This window comes from Homo sapiens, chromosome 6 (assembly GCF_000001405.40).
Source record: "Homo sapiens chromosome 6, GRCh38.p14 Primary Assembly".
Classification (NCBI taxonomy): domain Eukaryota; kingdom Metazoa; phylum Chordata; class Mammalia; order Primates; family Hominidae; genus Homo; species Homo sapiens.
This window is the reverse complement of record NC_000006.12, coordinates 22148047-22165000: the sequence shown is the minus strand read 5'-3', so window position 1 is coordinate 22165000 and position 16954 is coordinate 22148047. Positions and strand designations below refer to the sequence as shown.

Sequence of the window (16954 nt, the reverse complement as noted above, 5' to 3'; positions counted from 1 at the left end):
ATAAACAATAAAACTAGACCCCTATCTCTCCCTATGTACAGAAATCAACACAAAATAAAAGACTTCAATATAAGACCTAAAACTATGAAACTGTTAGAAGAAAACGGGGGAAATGCTTCAAGACATTGGTCTGAGCAAATATTTTATAGTTAAGGCCTCAAAAGTAATGACAATAAAAGCAAAAATAGGCAAGTGGGATTACACCAAAGTAAAAAGTTCCTTCACAGCAAAGGAAACAAATAACAGAGTAAAGAGACAACCTACAGAATGGGAGAAAATATTTGCAAACTATACATCTGACAATAGGTTAATATCCAGAATATACACGGTACTGAAACAACACAAGAGCTAAAAAAACAAATAATCCAATTTTAAAATGGGCAGAGGATCTGTACAGACATTTCTCCAGAGAAGATTTCCAAATGGCCACAAGTATATTAAAAAAATAACATCAGGAAAATGCAAATCAAAACCACAATGAGATATCTCACCTCAGTTAAAAGGGTTATTATTAAAAAGACAAAAAATAACAAAGGCTGGCAAGGATGTGGGAAAAAGGAAACTCTCATGCTGTGTTGGAGAGAATATAAATTACTACAGCCATTAAGGAAAACATTATGGGGATTTTCCTCAAAAAGCTAAAAATAGAATTACTATATGATTCAAGAATCTTGCTACTGTGTATATATCCAAAGGAAAAGAAATCAGTATGTTGAAGAGATATCAGCACTCTCATGTTTATTGCAGCACTATTCACAATAGCCAAGATATGAGATCAAACTAAGTGTCCATCAACAGAAGAATGGATAAAGAATATGTGGAATTTATACAAAATGGAATACTATTTAGCTATAAAAGAAAAGTGAAATCCTGTCATTCATGGCAACGTGGATGAGCCTGGGACATTGTGTTAAGTGAAATAAGTCAGAGAAAGATAAATACTGCATGTTCTTGTTCATATGTTGAAGTTAAAAAAGTTGATCTCATAGATGTAGACAGCAGAACAGTGTTTACTAGAGGCTGGGAAGAGATAGAGAGACAGGAGCAGGAAGAGATTGGTTAATGTCTATAAAATTGCAGCTAGATAGAAAGAATAAGTCCTAGTGTTCTACAGAACTTTAGGTAACTATAGTAAACAATAATTTATTGTATTTTTTCAAACAGCTAAAAGATTTGGAAAGTTACTAACATAAACAATAAAGGTTTGAGGTGACAGATATGCTAATCACTGTGATTTGATCATTACACATTATATACATGTATTGAAATGTCACACAGTACCCCACAAATATATAAAATTGTGTCAATTAAAAATGTTTTTTAATCTATACATCTGACAAAGTCCTAATATCCAGAATCTACAATGAACTCAAACAATTAGCAAGAAAAAAACAAACAATTCCAACAAAATATGGGCTAAGGACATGAATAGACAGTTATCAAAAGAAGATATACAAATGACCAACAAGCATATGAAAAAATTCTCAACATCACTAATAATCAGGGAAATGCAAATCAAAACCACAATGCGATACCACCCTACTCCTTCAAGAATGGCCATAATCAAAAAACCAAAAAACAATAGAAGTGGCTGTGGGTGCGGTGAACAGGGAACACTTCTACACTGCTGGTGAGAATGTAAACTAATACAACCACTATGGAAAACAGTGTGGAGATTCCTTAAAGAACTAAAAGTAGAACTACCATTTGATCCAGCAATCCCACTACTGGGTGTCTACCCAGAGGAAAATAAGTCATTATACAAAAAAGATACTTGCACGTTTATAGCAGCAGAATTCACAATTGCAAAAATGTGGAACCAACCCAAATGCTCATTAATCAATGAGTGGATAAAGAAACTGCGGCATCTATATATACACATATGTGTGTGTATATATATGACTATATATATGATGTGTGTATATATGTATGACTATATATAACTATATATAACTATAACTATATATAAAACTATCTATATAACTATATATAACTATCTATATAACTATATATATATAACTATCTATATAACTATATAACTATATATATATATATATATATATATATATATATATATATGTATGATGGAATACTAAGCCATAAAAAGAAATGAATTAATGGTATTTGTAGCAACCTGGATGAGACTGGAGGCTATTATTTTAAGTGAAGTAACTCAGGAATAAAATACCAAAGTCGTTATGTTCTCACTCATAAGTGGGAGCTAAGCTATGAGGATGCAAAGGCATAAGAATGACACAGTGGACTTTTGGGACTCAGGGGGAAAGGGTGGGAAGGGGGTGAGGGATAAAAGACTACAAATTGGGTGCAGCGTGTACTGCTAGGGTGATGGGTGCACCAAAATCTCACAAGTCACCACTGAAAAACTTACTCATGTAACCAAATACCACCTGTTCCCTAATAACCTATGGAAATAAAAAAAAAAAAGTAAAGCTTCCAAATAAGTAGAAGCACACAGATGTGCATGTATACAGATGTGCATGGAAACAAGTCTGGAAAGATACACACCAAACTGTTCACGGGGATCACCTCTGGAGTAGGGAGCAGAGATAGGGCAAAGGAGGCCTTCCCCTTTCTACTTGAGAGACATCACATTGCTTAAATGTATTTCTTTGTAAGTGTTACAGTAAACATATATATTTAAATATAAAAATATATAAAGATTTAATGATATTCTTTTGAACTATTTATATTAGCTGTTCAATCAATATATTTCTTAAATATTCTTATTCAAAAGCTATCTTAATTTTATAACACTATCTTTAGTCAATACTAATTTACCTAGTTTACCATTCCAGTAATGAGAATAGCTGAATAACGATTATGGATAAATCATATGAAACTTACCATGTTAAATATTAGTTGTTAATTGTGACAGTCCTAATGGCAATAACTTTATGTTCTTTGGCTACTGAGAATCATTTAATTATTATCTTAGTGTTTCAAGTTTATGTATTCTAGAGTTCTAATATGGTAGCCACTAGCCACATGTGGCTATTTAAGTTGAATTATGTTAAATAAAAATTTAGTTTCTCAAAACCACTAGCCACATTTCAAGTGTTCAATAGCTAGATGTGGCTGGCGGCTACTCTACTAGATAGCCACAGACACAGATATTTCCGTTATTGTCCAATTGTATTGCACAGTGATAGTCTAGAAAATACTTACTTTTAAGGATATTGTTGCTGGGATATAGACACTTTGGTTGACAGGGTTTTTTTTAGCACTATAAAAATGTTCCATACTTTTCTGTCTCCAGTGTCTCTGAGGAAAAGCCAGGTGCTAATCACATTATTATTCTTTCAATGCTTATAAGATTTTTGCTTTATCTTTGACTTTTACTGCTTTGACTATGCTGTGTTTTTGTGTGGCCTTTCTGTTTATTCGGCTTGGTATCCGGTGTCAACTTGAACCTGTATATTTATGTTTTTTATCAAATTTGGGAAAATATTGGCTATTATTTCTTTAAATACTTTTTTCTGTTTCATCGTTTCACTCTTCTATTTCTCAGACTACAAGTACATGTAATAAATTAAACCAGTTAATATTCTCTAACACAGCAGTCCCCAACTTTTTGGCACAAGGAACTGGTTTCATGGAAAACAATTTTTCCACAGAACAGAAGGGTTGTCGGGGATGGTTTCAGGATGAAACTTTTCCACCTCAGATCATCAGGCATTAGATTCTCATAAGGAATGTGCAAACTAGATCCTTCGCATGTACAGTTCACAATACAGTTCGTGCTCCTGTGAGAATCTAATGCCACTGCTGATCTGACAGGAGGTGGAGCTCAGGTGGTAATGCTTGCTCATCTGCTGCTCACCTCCTGCTGTGTGACCCAGTTCCTAATAGCCACAGACTGGTACTAAACCATTGCCCAGGGGTTGGGGACCCCTGCTGTAACAGATCTCTGAAGCGCAGTTCATTTTTATTTCAATCTGTTTTTTCTCTCTATTCTCTATATCGAATAATTACTATTGATTAAAGTTCATTTACTCTTGCTTTTGTAAACTCTATTGGCTGTTAGTCCATCAAGTTAAATCTTTTTCATATATTGCATTTTTTAGGTCTAGAATTGTCATTATTATTATTATTATTATTATTATTATTTTGATAGAGTCTCACTCTATTGCCAGGCTGGAATGCAGTGGTGCAATCTCAGCTCACTGCAATCTCCACCTCCCAGGTTTGAGTGATTCCCCTGCCTCAGCCTCCCAAAGTAGCTGGGACTACAGGCAAGCACCACCATGCCCAACTAAGTTTTGCTATTTTAGTAGAGGCAGGGTTTCACCATATTGGCCAGGATGGTCTCAATCTCCTGACCTCATGATCCACCCGCCTTGGCCTCCCAAAGTGCTGGGATTACAGGGGTGAGCCACAGTGCCCAGCCCATTGGTTCTTTATCTTTTTTATTTTTTGGCAGAGATTTCTATCTCTTCATTCACTATAAGCACGGTGTATTTACTGCATAGAGTATGGTCGTGATAGCTGTCTTAAATCTTGTCTGTTACTTCCAATACCTGAGCCATCTTGGTGTTGACATCAGTTAATGTTCTTTCCTCATGAGGATATACACCATTGTCCTAATGATTTGTGTGTCATGTAATTGTGGATTGCATCCTAGACGTTATTAATATTGAGATGTAGAGACTCTGGATTGTTAGTTTTCTCCTATGAGTGTTCTTCCCTTTAAATTTACCACAAAATTATCTTGTTTCACCTCAGAACTGCAAATTCTGATTTCTGGATGACAACTCTGGTCCCAATTCAGATATTTTATCTTTAACTGGAGGCTTTGAATCTGTTTCATGTATATGTGAATCATGGGTAAGCCACCTATGTTGGAGACAGAATATGGGAATCCCACGTGTAACTCTTTTCCTCTCTGGTGGCTGAGGTTTCCCCGGATTCAGTTTTCTGGTCCCCTTTCTTGAAGGACTGTAGATTCCTTCAGCAGCACTCTGTTATCCTGCATGCCATGTCTAAAGAGGAAAAGTCCTGACAAAAAGCAATAACTCTATCTGATTCCCCTCCTCCAAGAAGATACTCCTCTAATAGACTCTGCCTACTTGTGTTTCTGCTATAGTGTTGTCAAGTGGCTGCTTTTTGCATTATACCCAGATTTCATAGTTGTTTTCTTGCAGAGGTGTCAGTCCCTAGGAGCCTACTTAGTCATTAGGTAAAGCAAATCCTTCTTTCCTTTTCCTTTGATACTTGTTTTAGTTTCAGGAGGTCCTGACCTCAAGAGTCACTATTAGTTGTTCAACACAAGTGTTCCTTTCTTCTAGCCAGCAAACAAGATGTTCCATTAGTGTTTAAAGAGTATTTGTTTCTCAATACTCTGTTTTTAAAATTTATTTATTTTCCTACTTAATTTGTTTATAAATAAGTAGCTTTCATAGAGGGTTGGGGGTTCTGAATAGGTCCTGCTGCATTTTATTCTGTAATTTAAGAAACAAGTCATCAAGAAAATTTATAAAGCTGGAAGACTTGTGCTTTAGTGATGTGATCTTGTAATCTTGGGATTTAGTGCTTTTTAAAGTTAACGTTTAAAAAATAACAGTAGATTTATGGAAGTGTATTTCCACAGTAACATGGAAACAGTATTTGACTTGAAATCAACAGATGTGGGCCCCAGGTATGGCACCACTGAATCACTTACTATGTTTGAATCTCTATTTTTCCATTCGCTAAAAATGTCCGTTTCAACTCTAAGGCTGGAGCTAGCTTTCAGCCATATAGAGAAAACCTCTAAGATATGTAAGTCTAAATATTACTATGTTCAATAAACAGTTACACTTTCTTAGTTTAAGGCAATATTGACACACACTAAACAACATAATCAGTTCAGTGCTCTATTCATTCTTTCAAGACTTAAATTCAATGCTATTTTCAAAGAGCCCTATAGCTTGTTATGATGATGGTGGTTATCCCACAAGTTTACAATCATTATTGCTCAAATGTTTTGTGTTACTGGCAAAGTTATAATAACTCCTTTATGAACCTTTAGGGTGTCTATTCCATCTATTCTACCCCAAATTCTGTAATTTTCCAAACATCATGAATCCTGTGGGTAATTGTGTCTTTTGGCATTGTAAGAACTTCAGACTAAATCTACTTTAAGCCAGTGAACTGCATTAGAAAAGGAAAAATCCTTTAAAAGGCAAGACATTTGGCACTGTAGAGATTAGAGGGACCCTGGAAATTGATTTCAATCTGTTGATTGATTGTGAATTGGTAGCTGACTGTACCCATCTCCGGGTTACTTGTAAGCATTCCAAGTAAGCTCATTAACATTAAAATATAAATGTGGGAGCATAGCTAGCAGCTTCCAGAAGGAAACCCCTACCTCAACCATGAGAATCTTACTCCTCTCAATGACTTCATAGTCACCTGTCATTCCCATATTCTCCAGCACATTCTCAGTGTTCTCAACACACCATGGTATTCACAAGGCTTCTAAGACACAAAGAGTTATTCTCCAAATTAAAAAGGAGTCAAGCTGTAGTATGGATGTAAGCTGTCCGATAGAAATATCATGTGAGCTACATATTTAATTTTAAATTGTCTAGGAGCTACTTTGTTAAAAAGTAAAATGAAAAATTAATAACATATTTTAACCCAACACATCCAAAATATTTTCATTTTAACCCAACACAACCAAAATATTATCATTTTAACCCAACACATCCAAAATATTATCATTTACCTTGTCACAAGCATTAAATGAAATACATATTTTACCATTCTCTTTTCATTTTACATTTTCAAAATCCAGACCGTATTTTCTTACAGCACATCTTAATTTGTACTAGCCACATTTCAAGTACTCCATAGCCATATGAGGCTAGTGGCTACTATACTGGACAGCGTACCATCTAGTACTTTTTTTTTCCTTTTTCCTTGAATATGGGAAACAATAGCAGGGCAACAGTTTCTTACAATATAATTTCAACTGTCATGTCTTTAGTCCACCTGGAAACAGACTTCTGTTCATTCACGCTAGTTCACAGACCATGATTGAATAAAGAGATATTTTGGGCACAGCTTCAAAAATACAGGATCACTTTTTCTGGGCAATGATAGACTGTTGGAGGAACAGAACTAGAGGCAACCTCAAGCAACTATCAAAGTGCTATTCTCTCACTGTCTAGAGAGACAAATGACCCAGCTAAGCTCAAACAGCTAGTTAGCAGCAGAGCCAGGTTGGTAATCCACAATTCTAGTTTGCAGTCCATGAACTTTCTGATGCAGTATGTTGAATTTTACCATACTAAACTATGGTACTGGAGGCTACTGTATATATATTTCTATGGCATGGCATTAGTATTTCCTCGTATTTTCCCTATGCGAGCTCTCAGTGATACATTTCTTAGGTGATGAACAAGCTCAAATAACTTCTAAAATATAAGAAATGTAGACCACTTCTGAACTACAGAAATGAGGCCTAAGATATAGCGGGGCAGAACACTGGAATCAAGAAAAAAAAGTGAGCTATAGTTCTAGCTCTGATGAAAACTAGCTGTGTGACCTTGGGCAAATCTCTTAACCGCTCCATGACCCAATCTCCTTATCTGCAAAATGACTGGCAGTGGGAGGATTAGATTATTTCTAAGGTCCCTTCCATTCTAAGATACTTATTCTAATTCCTGCTAAACAAATGATTATATCATAATAACCTTTCTAAGTTAGTCTTCTACTCAGAGGGAAAAAAACGGTGCCACCTGTTCTCTTTATGGATACTTCTAAAAATTAATCAAATAATACTGAATGATTTTATAAAGAAGAAAAATGTTAAATCTCAAGTAATAACTACCATAATAGTGTTTATCTATAAGCAACCATCCTACAACACTAAGCATTATAAAAAGCAATAGCATGGTTAAAATTACACTTCTCTTCAGAAAATTTTATTTCACACAAATAAAAGTGAGAAATTCATAAAATTATATTGTATGGATAGACATTTTTATTTTTACATTTTGAACAGAAAGCTACTGGTTTATATGGAAAATTTCAGTTTCAAATATCTTAACACTACTCCCACTTACTTCCATTTCATTCAATAGATGTGTATATGGCATTTTTGCTGGGCCAGGCATCGCATGATGATGAGCTAAATTGACAAACTTGTCCCCATGGATCTTATAGTTTGGTGGATAGGTCTAAAGAAAATTAAACTAAATGCTCCTTTAAGGACTGAGTACATCATACGTCATGTCATCCTTCTAGTTATCAAAAACTGATCCCCCACAAAGCAGCCGTACAAACATATAGACCATAATCCATGTTTACCTTGCTACCTGTACATGTGACTAAGATGGCAAAAACTGGCACATTGGTTCTAAAGAGAATGCTGGAAATACAAATTCCTGACAATACAGTACCATCCTTTATGCTAAAGTGATTCCTCAAAACTCTAAACAGGACTCCAGAATGAAGACAAGCCCTCTACTCCTGATTTCTAACAATTAGCAACATGGAGAATTGATCAAAAGGAGGGATGCAATGTTCAAATTCTGTTTGCTGGCCATCATTTGAATTGGCTGTAAGTGATTAATATTTTGCTAGAAGACTCTCTCTTTTTATATTTATATGTGTTGCCAAAAAATTCCCAGGCCTTCCATAATTCTTTAATTAAGAGTTCTCAAATCCTAGTGAAGATTAATGATCACCAAACACTGCTCCTGCTACTATTGTGTTTTCTGTTAAAAGTATGAAATGCAACATTCTATAGAAGATGTTTTCCAATAAAGGAGTATAAAGAAATTTCCTTAAAATTATAAAAATTACAAATTCTGTTATGCCTTTTATTCTGAAAATACCATAAAATTAAAAGTATCAGTGGTCATGCTTGGGAAACAATATTGGCATTCCTCATTCTTACAACTAAAAGCCTAAATCCAAAGGCCTTTTTGGTATAGACTTTGATTACTACAGTCTTGGAACAAAACAAGATGAAGCAAAGGCTTCCCTATAACAGAACAAGGGAAAACACAGACCTATGGGAGCTAGAGAAGGAAAAAACATTCTAAACCCAGTGTCATCCTCCCCATATCTATCGAGTGTCCTTTGTAAGACTGATGTCTACCTCTGATAACAAGAGGGGTAGGCAGAGTCTAAAGTCAGAATATCAAACACATTTGAAAAGAAAACAGGCGGAAAAAGAATCACTTCTATCAGGCACTAGCCAAATGTCCATTTTTATGTACTGGCTTCTTTCAAAATATTCAATCACACCTAATAATTGGCAGAGAACACAAAAACGCTCTCACTCCCATGCTGTTGCATTCACTTCCCCTGGGGTACATGGCCATTTGTAGCCACCAGCAGCCACAAGGAAAAAACCACAGGAAGACCAGACACGTTCAATTACACCCCCACCCCTCCTGCCTTACACCTCTCTGTTATTAATATACTTTAGCCTTGTGGGTTAGGAAAGGGTCCTTAAAAGCATCAAAGTAACATTTTTCTAACATTTCTGTTAGAGAACTAAAGGATTTTTTTATTAAGAAAAATATAAAGGCAAGCTAAAATATCAAATATCACGTTCAATTGATGATTCCTGAACACTTTTCATTTAATAAGCCTCTCAATGGTTTGTTAGAACTGAGAACATGTCTCACTCACAGAATAAGATACATGTTTTATGAAATCCCTACAAAAGAAGAATGATTATTCTTGCTTTGGAATAATTCTTATTCTTCCTGCTTTTAAAAAAAAATTGGTTTCTCTTCTTCATCTCTATGCTGCATGCTGTCTAAACAAAAATGTATAATTAGTTGGGTCCAATCTCAGAAGGAGTCACAATAGTATATGCATTTTCTCATCTACTAATTCCAAAACTGTGTGGATAGAACCCTTTATTTTTAAGTAATATTCTACAATTACTGGGATAGATTAACTCATGAATTTCACCATCAATTTAGTAGTAGTAGTTACTACTAATAGTTCAGCAATATTCCAAGTGACTTATTTAATATAAATTATTAGAATATGCAGAATGAACAAGGCTCTGACAGTTATTTTCTATACAAATATCTACTGAGCACTTAGAATGTGCCTATGGCTCTTCTAGTTGCTGGGAATATCATATTAAGGTAAGCCCTTTGGTATCTGCAGTCTAATGGAGGTGATCAGGGAGGTAAAAAACAAAAATAAGTACTTTGCTTTGTGAGCTCATGGGCGCTTACATAAGAGGACAACCTCGGCCACATTTTGGGGCCATAAAAACTTCAAGGGGAACGTAAGAGGCCTGGAAGTGATAGAAAAGTTAGTCAGGTGATGATGAATAAATGTGCTTTAAAAAATCATTGCACACAAAGTCAGCTGAAGACTGACGAATGTTTGTGAGCATGTGTTGCTCCCAAGCCACCTAATCAGGACAAATTTTCTGGAGAAGATCAGCCTTGAGCACAGTTTCAAAATAAGGAAATCACAGCCTTAGGGTAGAGGGGCAGTCCTTTTTGCTCTATCTGTCTTTGGTCTTACTCTAAAAACAGACAAGAAACAAACGGTGTCTCTAGGACAATCCTAAAAGAGAATATGCTAAAACACACCAAGCCAACAACAACAACAACAAAATTAGAGGTGAAACAGCAAGAACACAAATTCCTTGAAATATACTGGATACCTCCAGACTTATTCTAAGTTCCTGTGTCTGCTCTGCTCTTGGCTTCAAGACTTCTGATATCCGACTCCCCAAAATAAATGCTCTTGATGAAGGCTCTCATTAAGGAGAATTACCCTTAAGGATGCCATCAGGATGTCAAAGCCTAATGCACACTTCCTTGATAGCAGGACAACTCCCAGTTATAAAAACAAGAGCGGTAGTAGGAGTCACAGCACCAGCAGTGAAATTCTGCTGCACATTTAGAAAGTTCTAGGAGGGCTTTATGTTCATAATCTCATCTCACCCTCCCAAAGCCTCTGCATGGTAAGTATTATCATCACCCTTAGTTTATGAATGAGGAAGTTCAAGCTTAGGGAAGTTCACTGAAGCATCTCCAGCCCCACAGCTGGTGGATACAGGAGTGAGATGTACACACAAGGTTGCCTAATTCCCAGGCCTGTGGTTTTTAGAGCATGATCCGTCCTGGTTTACTGCCTCCAAAACCATCCACCAACATATAAGGCCAACACCAGCTGCCCTACAACAAAGGAGAAAGGCAAGGAAAGGCCTCAAGTAGAGCAAGAGAAAGGAGGAAAAGGGTTCATCCAGAACCTCTACAGTTGCAGATTAATTACTAACAGAGAAGGGACTGGAGAGATAGGACAAAGGAAAGATCTGACCTAGTTTGTTGAAATAGCACAGTATTTACGTTGATTAAAAGAATATGCAAAAGATAACATGATGCACAGTGGCCGTGCTTCCAGAGTTACCATTTCACACGTTTTAAATTTTTTCCAGCTCTTCAAACAAAGAGGCTGGACTTCCTCTTTGCCCCTGGGCAACCAACACTAAAAAAATAATTTTGAAGGTAAAAATTTTCCATTCTTCCTTTTTACATATTGAGCAATAAAATACCATTATATTTTAAGAAAGAGTAACAATCCTTGCTTTCCTCTTTGAGTTTTAAAATAAATTGTTCCGTGTCATCAGTGAGAAAAGAAAATTTGGTTGATTAGCACTGAGTTCTCATCGCAAATAATTAATATTTATCCAACACTTCTTCTTAATTTTTATTGAATTGTTTGAAATCTTCCTCCTTTTTTAATACACTGATCTTCAGTAAACCTATAGGTGTAAATCACATCCTTAAAATATCAAAGGTAATGATTATAACTTGGGGTCTATAACCCACAGGCAAATCCAACCCCTTGCCTCTTTTTGTAAACAAAGTTTGATTGGAACACAGCCATACTCACTCATTTACTATTGTCTATGGCTGCTTTTTAGCTACACCAGCCAAGTTCAGTAGTTGCTATAGAAACCATACAGTCCACAAAGCCTAAAGTATTTACTATCTGGCCCTTTATAGAAAAACTTTGTTGATCCCTGCCCTATGCCATTGATACATCCACAGATAGAAGACTTCATTATTCCTCTTAACATCTGTCTTCTGGATACTCATCAATTCACTCATTCATTCATTTGTTAATCAACTAATGTCTGTGAAACATCTTCTGTGCCCCTGGCACACAGATGAAGAATGGGTTAGAGACTAGTGGGGAAACAGACTAAAGAATACCACCAGGTGATGGCTGGTCTAATAAGACAGGAGCCTGGTAAAAAGGAAGCCCAGGAGGCATCAGGCTGAGGGAATCAGATAAGGTCTCCGGCAGTGTACAGTTTGGGCGCTTCAGGTATTATGGTTGAGATACTATTACCCATTTTAACAGTGATGTCAAAAATCACTGGTTTACATTATGCTTTTATGACTTCACAAAAGGCACATTCTGACTTACTGATAGATCTTTCATATTATAAAAGTGTTGAGACAGTTTGGAAGAGATGTAGCTTCTCTGTGACATCAGGAGAGCTGATCATCTCCAAGCATCTGATAGTAAGGGCACCAGTTCTTCCCCAAAGTTGTAAGGACTAAGTAACATTAGGTGTCAGACAGAATACAGTCAGGGAAACTATTCAACACAAGATTCACCTGCGCTTCGTGGCCCACCACAATCAACTGCTTATATTCCCTTTTTTGTTTACCCACCAATCCCACCAAAACCTCATTGGTCTATGTTGAACCTTATAACTGGAGAAGTTAGCCTCCTGTGTGAGCAGAAAATAAATACCTAATAAATAAATGATTGATGCAATGAGTGAGGATGATCGCTCCTTTGGTGTTTTAATGAATGGCAAAGGATGAAATGAATACTATGACATACATTGTCTAAGTGAATATCTAGGATTCAAGCTTAAGTATAAGCTTAAGCTTAGCCAAGTCAGCATAAATGACATTTTAAAATATGCTTGCTTTGTTTTTGTTTTTGACTTATTGAATACTTACCTCCCTGGTAATGGATAAAAACAATGGGAAATTCTTAGCAACCTAAACAGCCAAATAAGACTTATATTGAACTATTATAATGTGATCAATTTATTTTTAATCAAACTATAAACATTTGATTGGACTGGGTACCTGGAAACAGGCTGTGCTTTACATACAAATTAGCCATATGTTTATTAAAGAATGTTAATAAAAGTATGTTGACGTTTTTCCTTTCTTAAGTGATTTTAAAGTGACATTTTATTTCTATATATTTGCATTTAAATATTTAAATAATTGTCCATTGACCTAAGCAAAATAAATACTGCAAAAGAAAACCAAAAAATGTTCACTTATTAAAACAACAAAGAAATTGCTTCATTTCGGAAGGAGCAGTACCCCAGATAATCTTTTATTCAACAAATATAAATTGGCATTTTATTCAATTACAAAAGATTGCTAGTGTAGTTGGAAACCTTTACAATAAATGTTTGGGGACTCTCAAAGCCAGTGAGGGTATGATCGATCAATTACAACATCAGAATATATACTCTATTTTAGCTTGATAAGATTTATATGCTGAAATGTAAACACTCCTGGATTTAAAAAATGTATATATGATTGATAGATTTCTTGGCTCTGATAGCATTAGAGGATTTGTTTTATTTTGTTTTGACTGTAGTCTCCGCTATAAGTAGGAATCACTGTTTTAAAGCATTATGTATCTAAATAGTTCCAAATATTTTTTAAAATGTAAATGAAAAGAAAAATCTACACCTAAATTTTCTCTTGCCTTTTTCACGTGGGCAAAAAAAACTAATGTGACAAGTTTACAAGAATCTCTATTATTCTTTTCCTTTATGTAGCCCAGTTTCTTTTTTACTTGTGATATCCCAGGGTGTTCTCACGAAAATTAATTTCAAATCTAAAAGGCAAGGATAATCACTACTTTCAGCAGTAAAAGGTAACAGAAAGAAATTGCAGTTTAAGCACAGTTAGCATATAATTAAGAACAAGAAAAATTAAAGTATTCTTAAATATGTGTTGCTTTAATTTTTCTCCTGATGGCTTTTCAGATTACCTTAAAAAGATCTATCAAGACTCCTCCTCTAGAAAAGATCTATTAAAAGCCACAGACACTTGGAGATCCATGAGAAGGAAAAAAATGGGTCATCTTATACAGTTGATTATGTGAGTTGTCTACATGCAGTGCATATGTCAGCAACAAGGAAAACAACCTCCAGATACATTCTGCAGGCAGATTTTCTTCTGGAGAAAAACCTATGTTTTCCTATACATTGTGAAGCCAACAGGGTAGGGTAGGAGCAGTTCAGTTTCATCCATAAGCATCCACATCAGGCTGGTTTTTGAAAAGGGAGCCAAACCCACAATACCCCAGAAAATAATATTTTGTAATAACAAAAATGGTATATATATTTTTTTCCTATCTAAATCTGGAATCCTGACCACCTTGTTTTAAACAAGACAGAGATTGCAAGCTTCAATCTGTTTGGATAGAAAAGAATTTATATAAATGTTTTGTTCAAGCCCAAAAGGGAAAGAGAGTTTAAATATACAGTGCATGAAAGATGCATGCCCAACTTCAAAACAGCTTAGTGCACAGAAGAGGAAAAATAATCTAACCTTCTGTTAGTCATTCCCAACAGTTTTTAAGCTTAAATATCTTGCAATTTGCGACATCGTTTCAGTGACCCCAACAGTGAGAGATTAACCAAAATTTCATAACTGCCCTGCCCTCCTCCCCTCATGCATCTTGAGGGGAGGGGGAGAGAACAAGAAGGTCAAAGAACAAATGGAAACAAAATCTGTGTTTTGCACTCTTTCTCTGCACTTGAGAAAGAAAAGGAGGCACATAAATCTGTATAATACTAAACCAAATCTCTTTAATTCCAGTCAGCTTTTATCATTCAGCCACTGAGTCTGTGTGTGGAAAAATTCATGCTAATTCCCCCTAGCAACAGACTCAGCCTATCAGGAGACTTTATGTACCATGCAGCTGCCAGCCAGAGAGAATAACTCTAAGTAGGTCAGGCCTGTATTTCTAAAAATGCTACGGTCTAGTAACCCCACTGTCCCGTCTGTCTGCCCTGCCCCATAATAACCTCAATTGCTTGGTGACACAATGACATACTATCCTGTTAGAGTGCAATCACATCATGCTACATTATTCTGCTGCGAGCATGACTGCTGGGTGAAGGACCCTCGGAGGGGCAGCATTAATCAGGCGGGCATTCATGTCCAGCAGCACTTCGCTCTAGAAATGGGGACTGCATTAATGACCAGCTGTTTGAACTAACACAAACAAAATAATGTCTTCCACCCTGTTGGGTGCACAGAATACACTATTCTGATCTGGCAGGTTCCGCTTCTTGACTAAATCGAAGATGTAAATTAAACGGGCTCAGACAATGTCAGTTTTGGCAACCTCAAAGTGAGTATATTTAAATTATATTACATGTGATTCAAAAAGCTATTGATTTAATATATGCAGCTTTCCATGCTACAATTTTCCCTAATCCACATTTTAAAAAAAGAAAAATGCATACATGGGTAATGCAATACATATGCACATATTACCCAGCAAGCTAAACACACAGAGCTGAACTAAAATTGACTTCTCTTTGGGCAGAGAAACAAAGCAGGTCAGGAGTAATTGTGCAGCATGAACACAAATACAAACAGAAAATGAATGCCATGGAGGAGCACTGAAAACAAATAAGAGTAAACATTCTAAGCCTACGGACCAATCAGCTCCTCCCACTGTCTCTTTGTGGAGGCTGTAGTAGCACCCAAATCTCCAAGCACAAGAGACAAGGGAGGGAAGTGAACGTGGCCTTGAAATCTCAACAACTGTGGTACCCTGACTTCCCATAACGATTACTGACTAGCTGCTGTTTGGCTTCAAGACAGCAAAAGCTCCTTCAAGGTTTAAACTCGGGAGATCACCAAAAATCAAAACTCCTTAGTTGTTTTTTAAATTCTAAAGTGGGAATTTTAGAATTTAATTTACCCTATTTACTCGAATGTAACTTTTGACTTCTCTCTATTGAAATGCACAAAAACAAACAAAAAAATTTATGTGTGGATACAGAGATAGGAGACTGGCAGTGCCATTTTTGGCTATTTAGTAAAACATCTTGTATTGATAGAGCTTGCACTGATATTTTCTCGCATGATTAATTTGCATGTTTAAGCGTTCACAGTTTCATTTAATGAACATATCCCCCCTGACAAATTGATAATTCAGCCTTCAATTACGCAGAATTCAGTTAAGTCTTATCTGTGTAATCCATCAGTATTTGATTTACAAACAGAAAATTTCTTAATCCATTTGCCCTTGTTTGAACTGGGTTTGATAACTTAGTTATGACTATCTTCTTCACTTTGTGGCACATATCACATAGTTATTCTTGGATAGATACAGTCACTGACGCAACCATGAACCGCTAATTACAAGCTGGTGACATTCTGCTTGTCTATGCAGCTTTGAAGTTCTAAGGCTGTTTTTCTCTTGTGCGCTTGCTCTGTTTCATTCTCTTCTCCTCATGCCACCCACCCCCAATCACTTACTCTCTCTTTCCTCTTTTCACTTTAAAGCCTTTCTGGATTCACTCTAGGACTATCTGGAGAAAGAGGTAAGAATGATCAGATTCTGTAACTTATTGCTTTTCCTTTCCTTCTGTACTATCCCTGCACACAGATCTACAGTTTGAAAGTACAGTAATAAGATCCTCACCCAGCCCCATCCGCAGGAATGCATCAACAGCTGGCCAAACATAATCCAACACACAGAGCTGCCTTTGTAGAATTAGTAACAAACAGTGGAAGGGCCAGACAGGCGTCCCAGAAGAGCTCCCCATGACAACTGGGAAACCTCCTCACCCCCAGGGTTGAGCTGACTCCACTGAGCTGGGGTTGGAGAACCCCAGCTCTCACATCTGAATCTACAACAAGCCTCAAGTGCCTGCCCTCAACCTCAC

The 16954-nt window shown here is 36.3% G+C and overlaps 1 long non-coding RNA gene across 1 annotated transcript in view, besides 1 other annotated feature; it reads right to left on the bottom strand.

Moving 5' to 3' along the window:
* The window catches only part of CASC15 (cancer susceptibility 15), a 529408-nt gene that overhangs the window by 30820 nt on the left and 481634 nt on the right, over positions 1 to 16954 (bottom strand). The gene's annotated exons all lie outside the window — the stretch shown is intronic.
* Positions 13843 to 16656: an enhancer, noted in NCBI's record as "VISTA enhancer hs1335". NCBI's record gives its function as "enhancer in: neural tube[4/4] | hindbrain (rhombencephalon)[3/4] | midbrain (mesencephalon)[4/4] | forebrain[3/4]" and the evidence as "EXISTENCE:transgenic organism evidence [ECO:0001131][PMID:17130149]".